The 18,662-nt window shown below is 36.5% G+C and overlaps 1 protein-coding gene and 2 long non-coding RNA genes across 8 annotated transcripts in view; 1 reads left to right on the top strand and 2 right to left on the bottom strand.

The window, feature by feature from the left end:
* The window catches only part of LOC105377299 (uncharacterized), a 38,333-nt gene extending 27,470 nt beyond the window's left edge, over positions 1–10,863 (top strand). Inside the window, exons 3-4 of the long non-coding RNA XR_938918.4 lie at positions 3,303–3,407; positions 10,752–10,863. This is a non-coding gene — a long non-coding RNA (uncharacterized LOC105377299). The remainder of the gene's footprint in view (positions 1–3,302; positions 3,408–10,751) is intronic.
* Positions 1–18,662, bottom strand: part of BMP2K (BMP2 inducible kinase) — a 140,016-nt gene that overhangs the window by 115,769 nt on the left and 5,585 nt on the right. The gene's annotated exons all lie outside the window — the stretch shown is intronic.
* On the bottom strand, positions 1,349–11,680 carry LOC124900722 (uncharacterized). Its single transcript, XR_007058153.1, has 2 exons — positions 5,495–11,680; positions 1,349–5,387 (listed from the first exon to the last, which is right to left on the bottom strand). It is a non-coding gene; the product is annotated as an uncharacterized LOC124900722 (long non-coding RNA).

The following is an 18,662-nucleotide window of genomic DNA, read 5'->3' as shown; positions in this document are numbered from 1 at the left end:
CTAGAAATTAACCTGACACTAAACAAGTTACAGACATAACTACATTCCAGTATACGGCTCATTAAAGTAGAATTAAAACTATACAGGACAGTCTAAGACTAGCAAACAAAGACCACCAAAATTTGTATTACTGAATGTGTATGGGTAGGTTAGGAAACATGGTAATTAAGTCACAGAAGATAGAGAGTGTGCCATATGGGCTTTGTTAACTCCTCCTGACCACTATCCTGTATCACTATACTAGCCCTAACATGTTGATGCTTATGCATGCACTTTGTATAACTATCTCAAGTGCCAAGTAAACACAGCCTTCTGTAATTACTTCAGAAGGGGAGGATAGGACTACTGAGAAAAGTCTCATCACAGAGCCAAAGTATCAGCATAGAGCCACTATCTATTACTTCAAGACCTGATACCCAAACCATGGCCCAGAAAACAGATACATATTTATACATTCTGCCTGAGTCCAAAGAAAAGCACACTCTACAATTGTTCAAATAGGTTTATCTTGATGTTACTGAAGACAAACAAGACTTTCAAATTGAAAGAGTAAAAGTTTGTATAATTTCTCCTTTGCAAAGACAGCTCAACCTTGTCAGAGTACGGCATATCCTGCTCACCGACTTCCACTATTCCCCGCACTTAATATTCCATCGACTAAATCTGTATTTATCCTACTAATGAAAAACCACCTAGTTATTATTGTTGTTTTCCAGTAACTTGGCCAGACCACTGGGTAAATGAAGTCTACTTTCAACCTGAGTTGGCAGGCAGGGACCTTCAACCACAACCAGGCTACTCTGAGGGGGTGAAAGGAAAAATCAAATCTTGGTACACCTATAACCCATTTATAGCATATCACTGTAACCATAGCACATGAGTAAGCAAGATTTAGTCAGATTATTCTGATACTCAGAGATAAGTCTAGACACAGCCTTACAAACATCTTACGTACTTTTGATACAAAAGCCAAATCATACTAAGATAAAACTTGGATGTAAAACTCTAATTACATACACAAATACACACATTTGAATCCACAGCAGGATCTCCATTTGTATGTAAGCTAAAAACACAAATTCTTATACACTTTCACTTTCTAATATTTTCATGCTGATTATAAATACCTATAACCACTATGAAAAACATTTAAGTAACTAAAATACAAAACCTGTATGCCAATTTCAAATTGTAAACATTATAAGAAATCAACGAATATAATGCAAGGGTATTTACATAAAGTCTATGCACCATCTGAAACCATATGTAGGTTTTATATGCAAATTTTTCTGGGGAAAGGGTCTACAGAACTTTCATGATATTCTCAAAAAAAAAACGGACAATCAAGTTATTTTTTAATATCTTTATTGAAATATGTAGCAAACAGAACTTTTTCCTAATTCTGGTCCTATATATGTTTGTATGTCCACTTCTTTAAACTGTCAATGTAAATTGGCTTCTAAGGGAACCTGGCCTCAGATTCCTTCTTGTAAAAATTAGAACGGCACTGTTGCCCTGTCTTTTCAGAAATGTTGAGCATATTAATTTGTCTGTGGAGTAGAAAGTTCTCTAGACAATTAGAAGTTTCTAATAAAATCTCAAAATAAAATAATTTGATAATGTTATTATGGATATTTCCATGTGTGTCAGCACGGTCTAGAAAGACATTTAAAATTTCAGACAAAGTAAGTGCCATAAAAAGAACAAGGTTTGTCTTAAAAGCACTGATACCCAGATTTTAATTCTCTCAGCTTGTATTCTCTCATTCAGCACTTAGCCTCAATGTGAAATCACCCACGAAAGCAACTGGAGTAACTATCAACTTCTCAACAGCAAAAGGAAGAAGGCAGTGATATTGTAAATCTTTATAAACATTTAGGTTTATATTAAAATATATTTCACTTAAAAGGACAGTAGTTATGTGTACTTTTGGGTTAATGATGATTACAGTGAAATTCTCAAGTCAGAATTCCAAGTATCCGTTGGAGTTTCCCTAAAGAATACTGCCCATCCTAAAGTGATATGCTGGAAGACTACCGTTAACAGTCATTCCTTTGAGAACACATGATCATAGTTTTTCTAAGAACAAATTGTTTTCAGAGTAAAATAATTTGTTTTTATGCTACAGAAAGGAAGCTAAGAAAAGAAAACCAGTTATGTTCTCCCTTGATGAGACTACATATGTATTTCTATAACTTTTCCTAATCAGGCTGTCCCCTTCGACCCACCTCTGAAACACTTAGGTTTCTCACAGGCATCCAGCAGGTATCTCCATTTCTCGCTTCTTTCAACCAAAATCTTATATAATTTCTTGCAACACTCACCTTTATGACTTGAGTATGGCTTTCTCTATGGACCTGACTTACTGGCACTTGAGGAAACTAGTTCATTAAAAACATACCAAACTCCAAGACTTTCCTAGGTAGGATCTGTCTTTTTGATTCTTAGGCCTAAGTGATAAGCTTATTATAATGCATTCCCGCCAAATGCAGTGGCTCATGCCTGTAATACCAACACTTTGGGAGGCCAAGGGAGGAGGACTGCTTGAAGCCAGGAGTTTGAAGCGTGTCTGGGCAACGAAGTGAGACCCCCCATTGCTACAAAAATTTTTAAAATTAGTCAGGCGTGGTGGCACACACCTGTGGTCCCAAATGAGGAGGAAGTATCCCTCAATTGAGCCCAGGAGTTTGAGGCTGCAGAGAGCTCTATGATCATGCCAATGCACTCCAGCCTAGGCAACAGAGTAAGACCCTATCTCTAAAATAAAAAAGAACACATTCCTAATCAAAGACAAATTATCTTCAAGATAATCAACAGAAAACTTTCTCACATTGCTGAAAGGTCAACCCATTTACAAAAAAAACATAAAACATATGTGACAAGCTTATAAAGCTGCAAGACCTAAATGAAGAATAACTTTACTGAGAGAAACTTTTAAAACTTAATAAAAATGATAAGACACACTATATTTCTGGAAAGCACTACTTAATACTTTCAATATGCCAATCCCTCCAAATTAATATCTAGTTTTCATACAATGCCAACCAAAATCCCAATACTACCGAATTACCTAGAGTATTTATTAAACCTGAAGTTTTCTGGACCTTTTCCTAAACCTGGAATTGAATCTCTGGGATTCAAGTCAAGGAATCTGTTCAATAAAGGACCCTAGATGAAATTTAAGAATCTTTGCATTATTCCTCTTAGCTACTAATAATCCATCTGAAGGCCATTAACAAAGCAGATATTCATAATGGACTGATTTGATCACTTTTGGGGTAAGTTTTTTTCCTTTCTTTTAGGAGACTGGCTAAGGAAGAATGCGATCTGTGGAAACAACAGAACTGGCATCACCTGAGAGCTTGCAGATACCACAGAAACTCCGGCCCTACCCAGATGTACTAAATGTAAGCAGTTTAAAAAATCCCAGGTGATTCATATACTTATTAGAGTTTAAGAAGCACTGTATTAAGGACTAAGACTCCCCAAAATTACAATGTTTTAAAAAATTAATACATTTAAAACAGGCCAGAGGTATTCATAGTACTCTTGAACTTCCTGCTATATCACTAGTCTCTAGGGCCCCTCATCACAACTCCCATGCATAAAGCTGAAATGAAGGCTAAAATGAAGCCACTACTTTTTGACTTTTCTTTATTCCCAGTCACAACATCCTTTCCCCTACTTTATATCCACTTTTTCCTACATCACGGTCACATTTTAGAAGTAATAACTTTTTTTAGCAGAACTGAAAAAGACTACAGATTTAGTTCTCTAATATTACTCTTTCTCCATTTTTACATATCAAAACTCCTCCATTCATAAATACAAAGCCTGGATATAGACCACAATCATCCGTTACACAACTTCCTTCTCACCAGAATATCAGGCCCCAAAAAAGCATTAAATTTTAGTGAACTCTTATATATTGCTGTTCAAATTCAGCATTATGCCAACCTCTCTTTGGGACTCCTTTAAGTGGCCTTATAACTATTAAGTACAAAAATACCTCACCTCTTCCACCAGATTTCCTAAAGAGCATCTGCAACTCTTTTTTATTATTATACTTTAAGTTTTAGGGTACATGTGCACATTGTGCAGGTTAGTTACATATGTATACATGTGCCATGCTGGTGCGCTGCACCCACTAACTCGTCATCTAGCATTAGGTATATCTCCCAATGCTATCCCTCCCCCCTCCCCCCACCCCCCAACAGTCCCCAGAGTGTGATGTTCCCCTTCCTGTGTCCATGTGTTCTCATTGTTTAATTCCCACCTATGAGTGAGAATATGCGGTGTTTGGTTTTCTGTTCTTGCAATAGTTTACTGAGAATGATGATTTCCAATTTCATCCATGTCCCTACAAAGGACCTCATCATTTTTTATGGCTGCATAGTATTCCATGGTGTATATGTGCCACATTTTCTTAATCCAGTCTATCATTGTTGGACATTTGGCTTGGTTCCAAGTCTTTGCTATTGTGAATGCTGCTGCGATAAACATACGTGTGCATGTGTCTTTATAGCAGCATGATTTATAGTCCTTTGGGTATATACCCAGTAATGGGATGGCTGGGTCAAATGGTATTTCCAGTTCTAGATCCCTGAGGAATCGCCACACTGACTTCCACAATGGTTGAACTAGTTTACAGTCCCACCAACAGTGTCAAAGTGTTCCTATTTCTCCACATCCTCTCCAGCACCTGTTGTTTCCTGACTTTTTAATGATTGCCATTCTAACTGGTGTGAGATGGTATCTCATTGTGGTTTTGATTTGCATTTCTCTGATGGCCAGTGAGATGATGAGTATTTTTTCATGTGTTTTTTGGCTGCATAAATGTCTTCTTTTGAGAAGTGTCTGTTCATGTCCTTTGCCCACTTTTTGATGGGGTTGTTTGTTTTTTTCTTGGAAATTTGTTAGAGTTCATTGTAGATTCTGGATATTAGCCCTTTGTCAGATGAGTAGGTTGCGAAAATTTTCTCCCATTTTGTAGGTTGTCTGTTCACTCTGATGGTAGTTTCTTTTGCTGTGCAGAAGCTCTTTAGTTTAATTAGATCCCATTTGTCAATTTTGTCTTTTGTTGCCATTGCTTTTGGTGTTTTAGACATGAAGTCCTTGCCCATGCCTATGTCCTGAATGGTAATGCCTAGGTTTTCTTCTAGCATCTGCAACTCTTTAACCCATCATCTGCTTTCTCAGATCGCCTTCAATGTTCCCTTCACCCAATGACCATACTCGGTCATCTCACCTAAACTGCAATTATCTCACAACAGTTAGATAATTAGAGAGCTCTTCTCATGTTCATTTTGTCAATAAATTTTAATAAGTGTCTGTGAAAGTCTCTGGAATACGTTTTAAATGGGACACCGTATGTGTGAGTTTGTAGTCTATTGAGAGAGAAAGACAAAAAAGTTATTATGGCACACTGCGATAAATGTGAGCAAATATAACTGAAGTACAAAGGGTTATAATGAAGAAATTATGTTTGGAATACCTTCAATCAAGCATTCTCTCTTCACTTCAACAAGCCCTGAAATTTCATTGTTTTAGGAAGTCTTTTTTGATGAGAACTGATTACATAAGCCAAGAATCTACTGCATACACAGCATCACCAACCTATTCAAACTAAACAGGCAAACACTTAATTTACATACCCTCCAATGCAGTGGCTTATTCATATAATCCCTCTTATGATTAGAGATAAATAGTAATCAAACATCCCATAACTTTATGACGGCTGGCATGGTGGCTCACACCTGTAATCTCAGCACTTTGGGAGGCCCAGGTGGGAGAATCACTTGAGCCCAGGGGTTCAAGACCAACCTGGAAAACACAGTGAGACCTCGTCTTTATAAAAATTTTAAAAATTAGCCAGGTGCAGTGGCACATGCCTGTGGTCCCAGCCACTCAGGAAGCAGAGGTGGGAAGATCGCTTGAGCCCGGGAGGTCAAAGCTGCAGTGAGCCAAGATCATGCTACTACCATGACAGAGCAAGGACATCTCAAAAATAAAGAAAAAAAAATAGAATGATTACCACTTTAACACATGCTTAATCTTTTCAAACACTATTAATGCTCAAGTTTAAAAAAATTATCTATTTCGATCAGGTTCCCAGCATGAAGTGTATGAATCTCCAATGTACTAGTAGATTGTATTCTGACAGTTTCTAAGTCTACTTTTGGTATTCAGAATATTTTCCCACAGAAACAGTCTTATATGTGATTCTGAGGTTCTCGGGTCCGTTTACAGTTTAATACTAACAGTACTGTAATACCTAATGACGGTCTGTTAAAACTTTTCTATGGAAACATTCATTCCAGGTTCCAACTTGAGAGGTCAAGAATGCATATCATTGCACCCCAGCAACACAGATTTCACTCAGCCTACCAAATTGTCAGAAAGGGATTCCCCCCCAGATCCAAGATACAAGCAGTACCCAAGTAACTACAAGCAGAGGTCAGGGGAGGAGTCTACAAATTTTACAGCAGTTTCTCACTTTTCTTTGGTCACACGGCCTTTTGGGAATATGATGAAAGCCATAAGCCCTCTCCCAAGAAAAATGCACATGGATGTTTATGAACCCCAGGCGAATAACCCCAACTGCAAAGTGCACACTATACACTGTAAACTGTATACTATAGATCAGCACTGTCCAGTATGTCCAATATAATGTGAGCCACATATAAAATTTTAAATGTTCTAGTAACTACATTAACAAGGTAAAAAAAAAACTGTAAAATTAGTTTTAATAATACATTTTTGACCCAATATATCCAAAATATTATTTCAACATATAATCAATAGTATAAAAATATTAATAAGGTCTTCTATGTTCTTTTTTCATATTAAGGCTTTTATATCCAAGTGCATTTTATTCACACTGCATATCTCAATTCAGTGTAGCAACATTTTAAGTACTCTATAGCCACATGTGGCTACTAGCTACTATATCGGACTGTTTTATTACACTATACATTGTAGACCCAGAGATTCTCAAAGTCTTTTGGCCTCAGGATCCCTTTACATTCCTAAAAACTATCAACAACCACCGAGTGCTTCTGCTTACATGGGTTATATAAATCCATATTATATTAGAAATTAAATCTGAAAATTTTTAAACCTTTATTAATTCATTTAAAATTATAAACTCGGTGCATAACTTTTTTTTTAATTTTTTTTTTTTTTTTGAGACGGAGTCTCACTCTGTCACCCAGGCTGGAGTGCAGTGGCGCAATCTCAGCTCACTGCAAGCTCCACCTCCCGGGTTCACGCCATTCTCCTGCCTCAGCCTCCCGAGTAGCTAGGACTACAGGCGCCCGCCACTATGCCCGGCTAATTTTTGTATTTTTAGTAGAGACAAGGTTTCACCGTGTTAGCCAGGATGGTCTCGATCTCCTGACCTCGTGATCCGCCCGCCTCGACCTCCCAAAGTGCTGGGATTACAGGCTTGAGCCACCGCACCCGGCCTACATAACAATTTAATAAAAAATAGCCATATTTTTCAAAAGAAAAACTTGGAGACTAGAGTGGCAATGTTTAACATGTTTGCAAAACTCTAACATTTGGCTTAATAGAAGACTGTTGGATTCTCACACCTACTTTGACAGTAAATCTATATGATATGTTGTTTTGGTTGAATGAAGTACATAAAGATAATTTAGCCTCACACAGGTAAGTAGAGGAAAAGGTGAAGACTATTTTATAGTCTTTTCAGATAACTATGAATAGCCTATTCTTCTTTGCTATTGTAGCAAAACATGATAATTAGTACTTTCTTAAAGGTTAGTTGTAATATGGAATCTAAAACCACATCACTGAATTTTTTGCAGTTACAATTAAAATCCAGTGGTCAATCTTGTACTTTGTGTAAGATCATGTGCTTGGAAAATATAGGTTATACAGATATTCCATTACAGAATTTAAAAAAAAAAAATCACATTTGTTCATATTATCACCTGTCTCCTCAGAAAGGCTTTTAAAGTAATAGGGAACTGTAAGCTCACAATGGCTAAGACAAGTTTTCTAAAATTCTGATTTTCTTTGAAAGTTCAAATTCCTACATTAATAAGATGTGTAATTTGTTTTCCTCGAAGTGACAGGATCATCTTTTAAGAAAATGTCTGCCAAATATCCAAGTCTAAATGAATAATCATAGTTTGTCACTGTTTCCAGTAAAGACGATATTCTATGAAATCAAACTACTTCAGCAAACAACTCCATCACCCAAGTGCTCTTCCTCAATTACACGATACTGCTTCCTTATGCAGCAAAAGTGCTTTGTATTTCCCATTTTTTCACATATTAAAAAGACATATACTTAAAAATGGCCAATAAACACATGAAAAGATGCTCAAAATCACTAATCATTAGGAAAACGTACATCTTTTATGTTCTATAACAATATTGTGATTTTCTTCACAGAGGTTCTGCACATTTCTCATGAGATAGATAACACTTCATTACGATGGCTATTAAAAAAATTGCCAAGTGTTGGTGAGACAAGGATGTAGAGAAACTGGAGCCCATGTGCAATGCTGTTGGGAATGTAAAATGGTACAGGAACTGTGAACAACAGTGCGGCAATTCCTCAAAAACATTAAACATAGAATTATCATATGATCCAATAATTCCCTTCCGGATATATACCAAAAAGGCATGAAAGCAGGGACTCAAACATATACATATTTGTACACCATATGTACAGCAGCATTATTCACAACAGCCAAAAGGTAGAAACAATCCAAATGCCCACAGACAGACAAAATGTGATATATACATACAATTGAGTATTATTCAGTCTTAAAAAGGAATGAAATTCTGATGTAGGCTACAACAAGGATGAATACCTTAAAGGCATTTTTAAGTAAAATAAGCCAGACACAAAATGCTAAATATTGTTATGATTCCACTTCTATAAGATACCTAGAATAGTCAAATTCATAGAAATGGAAAGTAAATCATGGTTATCAGGGTCTAAAGGAATAGGGGAAGTGGAAAGTTGGTGTTTGATGGGTACGAAGTTTGTTTAAAATGATGAAAATTTTCTGGAAATAGTGATGATGAATGCACAACAATTTGAATGTACTTGATGCCACTAAACTGTACACTTAAAAATGATTATTATGGTGAATCTTATGCATATTTTGCAAAAAAGAAAAAAAAAGAAAAGAAATGTACTCAAGGGCCAAGAGTAATGAAATGCTTTTCACTACCCTTGATTAGTGTTAAGGTGCTTGCAGTGTGAATGCCAATACAGTGTAAATGGCAAATACGTCTTAGTATTATTATGAAAACATTTTTTACCTGATAGACCCCCTATCAAAGGGTCTTGAGGACCCTTTCCCTTGGGGTCCACATACCACACTTTGAGAACCATTACCAAAATCTATTTTTCAGAAAAGTCAATTAATGAAGGAAGGAAAGAGTAGGAAAGATCACAAAAGTTTTATTTGTGTTTTGTCTTTTGAAATTAAACAGGCTTACAGGCTGAACAGGATATAAACTGTTAAGGTATAAACTGGTATACCTCAACAGGTATAAAAAAATATTAAGGAACAAGTAAAAATAAGAGAAAAATCAAATAACTGATGGAAAAAAGAATGGGAGAGAAAAGATGGCCAGGGGCTCAGCCTCTATCTAAAGTTGGAAAGAGAGACAATTATTAGAGGCAGATGGGAGGGGGGAATGGGTTACATTTTTAAAAATTTATTATTTTTATGATTATTATTATTATTGTTATTTAGACACAGGATCTTAGTCTGTCACCCAAGACAGAGTGCAGTGGAACAATCACAGCTCATTGCAGTCTCAAACTCCATCTCAGCCTCCTGAGGTGTGGGCCACCATGCCAGGCTCTATATTTTGACTTATGAAAAAGCTCGTTTTACTCAGAAAAACGTACAGACACTAGATGAATTCTTCTTGATAATGATGGTGTTACTTCCATAGTTTGAAAAATATTAGAAAAATTATCTTTTTTTGTACTGAGTTTATTTAGGAAGAAATAACATATTGACAATATTGAGTCTTCTTAGCTGGCAACATGACATAGTTCTCCATTTAGACAAGTTTCATTTTATGTTCTTCTAAACAATATAAATTTTTTTCACAGAGGTTCTGCACATTTCTCATGAGTTTAGCTCTTAGGTGATATACATTGTTTTGCTATTACGAATGTAATTTATTTTCTAACTATTACTGGGATGTAAGAAAACAATAAGCTTTATTTATTTGGTAATTACTACTCTACAAATATTTCTTATAAATCCTAGTTGCTTTTCAATATCCTTTTGAGTTTTATACCCAAACAATAATGCCATTTCCAAGTAAGTTTAGTTTAGAAACATTATCCTTTAATGTTTTAAAATCATAAATCAAGCACCATTCTATTTCAACTTTTTACTTGCCTGTGTATAAAAATATGCCAAATGTATCATAAAAGTAATGTCATGTCATTTTTAAGGAAACTGTTTTATAATATCATAGGAATTTATATCACTGTAAAGATTCAGATGTTTTGTATTCCAAGTTTAAGTCTAAAGCATTTGTGCTGTCATCTAATAAACAGGAATTTAGAAGAATCGTGTTTTCTTTTTACTTTGAACACCACATAAATTTATCAGGTAAAATGCAAATAGGGATCCGATATTACAGCACTTCAGACTCCACGCGCCATAACCTTGAACTCGGAAGAGAAGAAAAGCAGAGGATAAGAACTTAGCTATTTCTCTCTTTTACCTTTCTCCCTACAGGAGGTCCTCCGTGTTGCTATGCTGAATTCAACTGAAGAAGCTGAAGTATTGCACCTTTACGCTACATACTTTACAGTTCACAAATACACTATTTCATGTATGACTTGTCCTCTCTAAACTGAGAGAACAGACTAACCTGGGAGAAGCTGGAATTTAAACTTTTAAAATTAATCGTGACATCTTAGCTCAAGTAACTGTAACACATGGTTTGACTGCCTTAGGAAAATACAAAGCAGAAAAGCTTTAACTTTGAAATTCAAGCAAAAATATTTGAGAATACGTCTTCCACCTCATACTCCCCATGCACCCAGTAATACTCCAGCTGCCTTCAGACTATTAAAAGTCCCGAGGTCCCTTAAACCAGTTCCAAGTCCCCACCCCAATCAAAGGACAATGCCCATACATACAGGAGCTATGACTATAGCTACAGGCCAATGCCTATACAGCATAGGAGCCAATTAAAGAGGCCATAAGTAAAAGTACTTAGGCATAAGGAAACAAAATGAAAAATAAAAATAAAAGAAAGAGGCCATAACTACTAGAAAAAGTGCTGGTCACGAGAACTAAGTTCTACTCTCCACAATCAACACTAATAATGTGACTTTGGGTTCATTCATTACTCCATTTTCTCATGGTTAAATGAGGGAACTAAATTTGGACAATCACTACAATTACGGGAAATTTAATGAAGCACTAGCATTTTCAAAGAAAGACTATTAGTCCAACAATACCAATTACAGTTAATATAATACTCAGGATATTTTCTGTAAGAGGCTCTGAGAAGGTCCTGTTTTAAATTCAGGTTCTTACACATTGTTTCCTATATTTCGTCTTCCAAAGCAAAAGAAAAAAAGAAAAAAATCAGTGAAATTGACCTTATACTATCCATAATGGCCCACCACAACTTTTTGAAATACCTTTAGTGTATTTAAAAAAAAAAAAAAAAAAAACAGCCACTATTCTAAGATGAAAACAAATCTGAACCTTGAATCTGTATATAAGGGTTTCTCAAGCTAGAAATTTATGGGCATTAGTTACATCCAACCTCGAACACTATGGATTCATACAGCCCTTACAAATGCACTTCCAACCATCCCTATGGATAGGCAAAAAATACCATACACAAACACATATTTAAAAAAAAAAAAACTCATGAGTTTGCAATATTTCTAAAGTTCCCACTGCACTAAGGTGAAAAACTATAAAACCCATAACAGCTACCTTCACTTGTTTAAAAATAAAAACAAGTACCAATTTTGGTTGAGATCCTTAGAATTTCTCCTTTGGGTTGCATAAACATTTTGCTAAAAGATGAAAATTTACCAAAGATTTAGCAATCCAGTTAACTATTCACTAGGATTTAAACTGAGCTGTCTGGATGAGTTAACCATAATACTGTGCTAATGAAACTAAGGATCTATTCCAATTTCAATTTAGGCCCATTAGGTAGACAAAAAAAAAAAAAAAAATCCTTAGATCCACATTACTGCACGTAACAGTTAACTATCTTACATACTCCTGTTAGTGATCATAGAAGACACCATCAAAAGCCTATGCACATCTGAGCACATATACCCCCAACCTCTGAACAAATATTTCAGAATACATGGCCTACTGATCATGAGTCAGTAGCAACTTTTTTTTTCTGTGCCTGTATAAAAAAATAGACCATTAACATTCAACGGAAGAGAGTCTGTGATGCAGGCAAGAGAATGAAAAAATGGGTAATTGCCAGTGATGCATAATCCCACTCCCTAGAAAAATAGTCCTGACAAGATTCAGGAAAAAAAAAAATTACTTTAGTAGTAGTATCTTTATGATTCAGAAAGAATAGTAAAACCTAAACTAACCACTGACAATCTCATTCAAAAGAGAATACTTATGTATAAAGCTCCAGGCAGCCCTAACAATGGTCCAACCAGCAAAAATAAAGCAAAATAAGTAAATACAGCATTTAGGCAAGGGGAAATAGTGTACTGGAACCCTCTCTTCCAGAAATTGAAAGAAAGAATAGTCAAGGGTGGTTTGCTACCCTCTGACCTTTGGGCCAGGCTTACAAATTTCCTAATCTAAAAGCAAACTAAATGTCTTTCCACCTAGAAAATAAGTACCTTCAATATCATACAGTTCAGTTAGAGGAATCCCCAAAGTTAATGCTCATTTGTTTCCCTCCCCAGGAGCCTTAAGGAGATAAGATCCCCTTCTTCTTCCTAATACCCTCATCCTCTTAGACACCATTCATCCCATTGAGTGGTACTATCCGCCACTCAAGATAAAGCCATACACAGCTGACCACCCCCAAAACTGTTTTCTTAAGATCAGTTATCCAAAGCACATACTTTAGACTACCCAGCTCCCACTCTGTCTAACGGTAGTGGCTCAAGGGAATTCAGGCTAGAACATTTTGAGAGTCACATCAAATACAAGCAATGCAGTACCCACAAAACAAAGATGTACTATACATATAACCATAACAGAAATAAAACAGGCTAGGAGTCCAAAAATAAATCTGGTAGTATTTTTTCATCCATCTATTTAATGCTAGAACTACATTATTAACAAATATCTCTATCTCCTTATTTTAAAATGGACAGAACTTCAAAAACAGAGTCAGCCTTCTCCTAAATATCAACTGAACAGCTTGATATGTCAAATATGGCTGCTATCCAATTGTTTCATAGTAATTTGTAGCAAGCCCTCTGATCACTTTTGAATACCAAAACTCAACCTCTTACAGAGGTACTCAATACTATCATGAGTACAGCACTGCAAGAGATAAAAGACGAATACAAGGCCAAGCATGGTGCCTCACACCTGTAATCCCAGCACTTTGGGAGGCCAAAGCAGGAGGACCACTTGAGGCCAGGAGTTCAAAACCAGCCTGGATAACGTAACAAGATCCCATCTCTACCAAATATTTTAAAAATAATGAGAGGGAAAAAAAGAATGAATACAAGATAAGCCTTAAAAGAATTAAATTTTAAAGTAGAGAAAATTACGCATTTTATTAGAATAGAACAAAGCTATTTAAGATAAGTGCTATATGAGTAACAGTTGCTACGCAGAGCAAAGGAAGGCATAATTACACTTATTTGGTTGTAGATAGGGTTTCAGGAAAAAATAAAGATTACAAAAAAGTAACTATTTTAAATATATCCTACAAGACCCCATTTTTAACAGAGTGGTGGAGGCCAGTATTTGCATTCTGGGCAAACATAACAACATAAGCTAAAAAACAGAAATGGAGAAGTGTGGCAAGGTGGCACATGCCTATTGTCCCAACTGTCGGGAGGCTAAGGCAAGGGGACTGCTTGAGGCCAGTAGCTCAAGGCTGCAGTGAGCTATGATCACACCACTGCACTCCAGCCTAGCCAATAGAGACCGTGTCTCAAAACACACACACACACACACACACACACACACACACACACACACACACATTGGGTGGCTTATAAGCAACAGAATTTCTTACTGTTATGGAGACTGGGAAGTCCAAGAGCAAGGTGCTGGGAAATTCAGTGCCTGGAGAGGGCTTGTTTCCTCACAGATGGCCATCTTCTCACTCTAACCTTATGTAGTGCAAGGGATGAGGGATCTCTCTGGGGCCTCTTTTATAAGGGCATTAATTCCATTCATGAGGGCTCTCATGACCCAATCATTTCCCAAGGGCCCCATCACTAAATAGCATCACCTTGGGCGTTGGGATTTCAACATATGAATTGCGGGAGGAGTCACAAACATTCAGACGATAGCAGAAAGCTTGAGAGAAGTGCAGAAAATACCAAGCACATCAGTGTAATATAAGTAGGGAGTAAGAGTAAGAGATTAAGGCTGGAGAGGTAGGTTGGAGGTCATACTGAACTGGAGGTTCAGGTCAGGGGGTCCTGAATCCTAGAGTAACGAGTTTGTACTTTACTTGGTTAGGCAAGTAAGAGAGTGACATGAGCATAAGTCCATTTTAGGAAGAATAAACTGGAAGGAATACAAGAATTGGTTTGGCAAGGAAAGAGTCTGAAAGAACAGTCCAAATGCTAATATAATTCTCTAAACGAGATGTATTAAGGACCCAAATTAGGGCTGACAGCATTGGAAACAAAAGGTACCCAATTTCCCACACATATCAAGGGTAAACTTTGTATCTGTAAACTTCATCAGAGAAAGTACTGTCATACCTCCTCCTCATATATTCTTTTTGAATAAAAAGGTTTTGTTTTGTTACTAATACTCTCTAAAATACATATATTGTGCATGAGTCTCTTAGAGAACACAATCAAGATAGTAAAATAAGCAATTAAGGTGGCATGCCCACTGAAACTAAATAGTATTCTGAAATGTCACACAATTTAATTTGAGCTTCTACCCGGATCTCAAGGACTAGCATGTAAGGCAACTTCTTAGAAAAGACCTTTTTCCAATGATTAAAAAATAATTTTAGGCCGGGCGCAGTGGCTCATGACTGTAATCCCAGCACTTTGGGAAGCCAAGGTGGGCAGATCACCTGAGGTCAGAAGTTAAGAAACCAGCCTGGCCAACACGGTGAAGCCCTGTCTCTACTAAAAATACAAAAATTAGCCAGGTGTGGTGGCAAGAACCTGTAATCCCAGCTACTTGGGAGGCTGAGGCAGGAGAATCACTTGAACCCAGGAGGCAGAGGTTGCAGTGAACCACAACTGCAGCACTGCACTCCAGCCTGGGCAACAGAGCAAGACTCCGTCTTGAAAAAATAAAATAAAATAAAATAAAAATAATTTCATACTTTAGGATTAAAAAATAAATTGCCATTCCATTGTGAAGTCTGTCAAAGAACTCAAATTGTATAACGATCAAACACAATCCTTTCATTATGGTCTCAATCCTGAAATTGTTCATTGCTATTCCTCCCTGTCCCATGCTCCTCATTTATCTAAAAGAGCAGTTAAAATCAGTTACATAGACAGAATCCAAGAATACTAAAATGGAAAAAGATGTTACAAATTCATTTTTTCCACTTCATTTTTTTCTTGAGGAAACTGAAGTCAAAACGTCACAATGCAAGTTAGAGGCAGAACAGGGATTACCAGCTGGTATTTTTCCCCGATAGATGCGTCCAAGAAGGCACTATTTCAAAGATAATTAAAAATGTTAAAATGGGCAAACTAGTAACAACAATCATTCCATATTTTAAAATAATACTTACTGCAAAATGCCTCTAATGTTACTGCAATTCTACAAGACTAGGATAAACCAAAAACAAAGTCTCTCTGTAGAAAAGGCCTTACAACCACTTTCCTGCAGAGAGAGACTTTTGAAACAGTTAGCAGACATGTGCTGACTGACCTCATTTGTAAAGCTGATACACATAGACAAAGAATCTCCAAATTAACTAAGTGCCCAGCTATTTAAAACAGCTCAGTCATTAACCACTCAACTTCCCAACTTAGTCCCCTAAAAATAGCAGGCTGTGGGTAGATGAATGGTTCACCAGATGCATGCAAGATAAAACAAAGGAATAAACAGTCCCAATCTTTTGGAGATGAAATATTATACCCGACCACTAGAAAAGTGTGGCAGCTTTGAAATGGTAGTTCAAGACTCTTAACTTTGGAATCCCAAGTCAAGGCTTTAATCATTTTGATAACTACCAAATGAGCTCTATTGGATGTATATGAAACTACTTCAAGTTCTGACAAAAAAATAGGAGGGAAATGGTGAAAGAAAACCAAGATAATATACAAGATCAGAAAGAACACTATATAAGACCCAGGATCAACATAAGGACATCCGTCTCACTTTCTAGTACATTCTCTAACATTGACAACATCAAGGACCTTTTCCAAGTTTCCCTACTGTGCACCCCATGATGAAACATACTAACAAATATTAATTCATTTTCATTATTTTTAAAATATCGAAGACATAGCCTTTTCAATCTGCCCAGCATGAGAATGTCAGTATTAACCACAATAGTTGACTACAGCCTAAAAGCAAAGATATTTGGCATGTTTGTACAATTTAGCACTTTTATTTTTATTTATTATTTATTTATTTATTTATTTATTTTGAGACAGCGTCTTGCTGTGTCACCCAGGCTGGAGTGCAATGGCTCTATCTCACCTTACTGCAACCTCTGCCTCCTGGGCTCAAGGGATTCTCCTGCCTCAGCCTCATGAGTAGCTGTTATTATAGGCACGTGCCACTATGCCCGGCTAATATTTGTGTTTTTAGTAGAGATGGGGTTTCACCCTGTTGGCCAGGCTGGTCTCGAACTCCTGGCCTCAAGTGATCTACCTGTCTCAGCCTCCCAAAGTGCTGGGATTACAGGCGTGAGCCACCATGCCCATCCTGTACAATTTAGCACCTTTACTGGAGATAAATGCATTATAAATTTCCACTGTTTTTTTGGAATACTGAAAATTTAGAATAATTGTTTTAGTGTCAGTAGCTTGTCCTTGAATAAAACTACTACCTCTAGAGGAAATACATTAACGGACAATCAAAATTACATCCTAGGAGCTATCACTACAATAATAACATAAACAACCCAAAAAAGAACCATTTGTTAATATTGTATATAGTGTCCTTTGTTGCAAATAATTTCCATTTTATAGTGAAATCATATGCTACTATATAGGTCAAAATTTTATATAGCTGATTGAAACTTGAAAATTCAATATGGCTGAGGGACACATAATTATCTAACAAACTATTCAGATATTTTTCAAACACAAATGTGATACTTATTCAGGATAAATGTGATACCAAATATATAATAAAGTCACTATAATTTCCAAATCAGATTTCACTGAAAGCGTATAACCAAATCGGAACTTAAAAGTTCACTCATAGTTATGAAGAGATTTGGCAATGCACTGTCAGGTACTGTCACACATTATCTTCTCTAATCTTCATAATAGATATTAACTCCTTGTTTCAGAAGAGGAAACAATGTTTTCTAAGAGCTTAATTAAACAACAACAAAAAAGGGTGCTGAGTAAGTACTACTGGACAACTGAATGCACAGGTGAATAGACCTTGGTTCTACCCCCAAAAAGCTCAGCATCCAAAAAAAGCTGTCAAAATTAACCACAAAATGTAAAACAATTTCACAATTGCATGTAACATACTTTTTTAAAAACTCAGCCACCTTTGTAGAATAAATAAAAATACAATGTCAATAAAGCAAGATAACTACAAGGGGGCATCTGGGTTATTTTTTTTCTTTCCTGTTTCAAGTTGTTAAGTGAAATGACACTGCCTTAACGGTTGTTTGTCTTCACCAAACTAGAAAACACAGAGTCCTCTGGCCTAAGTACAAAACCTTTGATGGTCCAGTAAAGAGCCCTCCATTGGTGCTCTTCAATTTGCAAATTAGGCCTTAAATTCTACTGAAGATCATCATCTGATTAAAAATAAAAAAATCAAGCACCATTTCCTTTGAGAAGTAGCTGAATGTTCATGGTATGGCCAACTTGTGTGATACAACATCAATTAAAACAGAGTCTGTCTAGCCTTAAGAATTTTACTATCTGGTAGTGGAGATGACAGAGGAACAGTAGTTAACAACCTTAGTGTTTCTAGGTGCTTACATAATTCCATCTCAAGACAGGTTAAATGTGACAAGAGGGAAAAAAGCAAATAGTTACAAGTGTCCACAGAAAGGAGGAAGTGATCATAACCAGTACTTAGGAAACAGGGATTACAGAGACAAAGGCAGAGTGCTAGGCAAGTACAAGATTCAGTCACGGACCAACAGGGAGTGGAGCACATTGCACCAGGCGCAAAGAGTATTCACCTAGCAAATAATTACAGGTAAGCTTTTAAAGATAAGAAGTGAGCATGAATAACTGTGAATGCCAGGCGAAAAAATGTGATCAAGTAAGATGACTTTGCAGCAACACAACTGCTCACTCCCTCCCCTTCTTGAAATACTCT

Source organism: Homo sapiens, chromosome 4, assembly GCF_000001405.40.
Source record: "Homo sapiens chromosome 4, GRCh38.p14 Primary Assembly".
NCBI lineage: Eukaryota > Metazoa > Chordata > Mammalia > Primates > Hominidae > Homo > Homo sapiens.
Note: the sequence above shows the minus strand (reverse complement) of the source record. Positions and strands in the feature narration are given on the sequence as shown.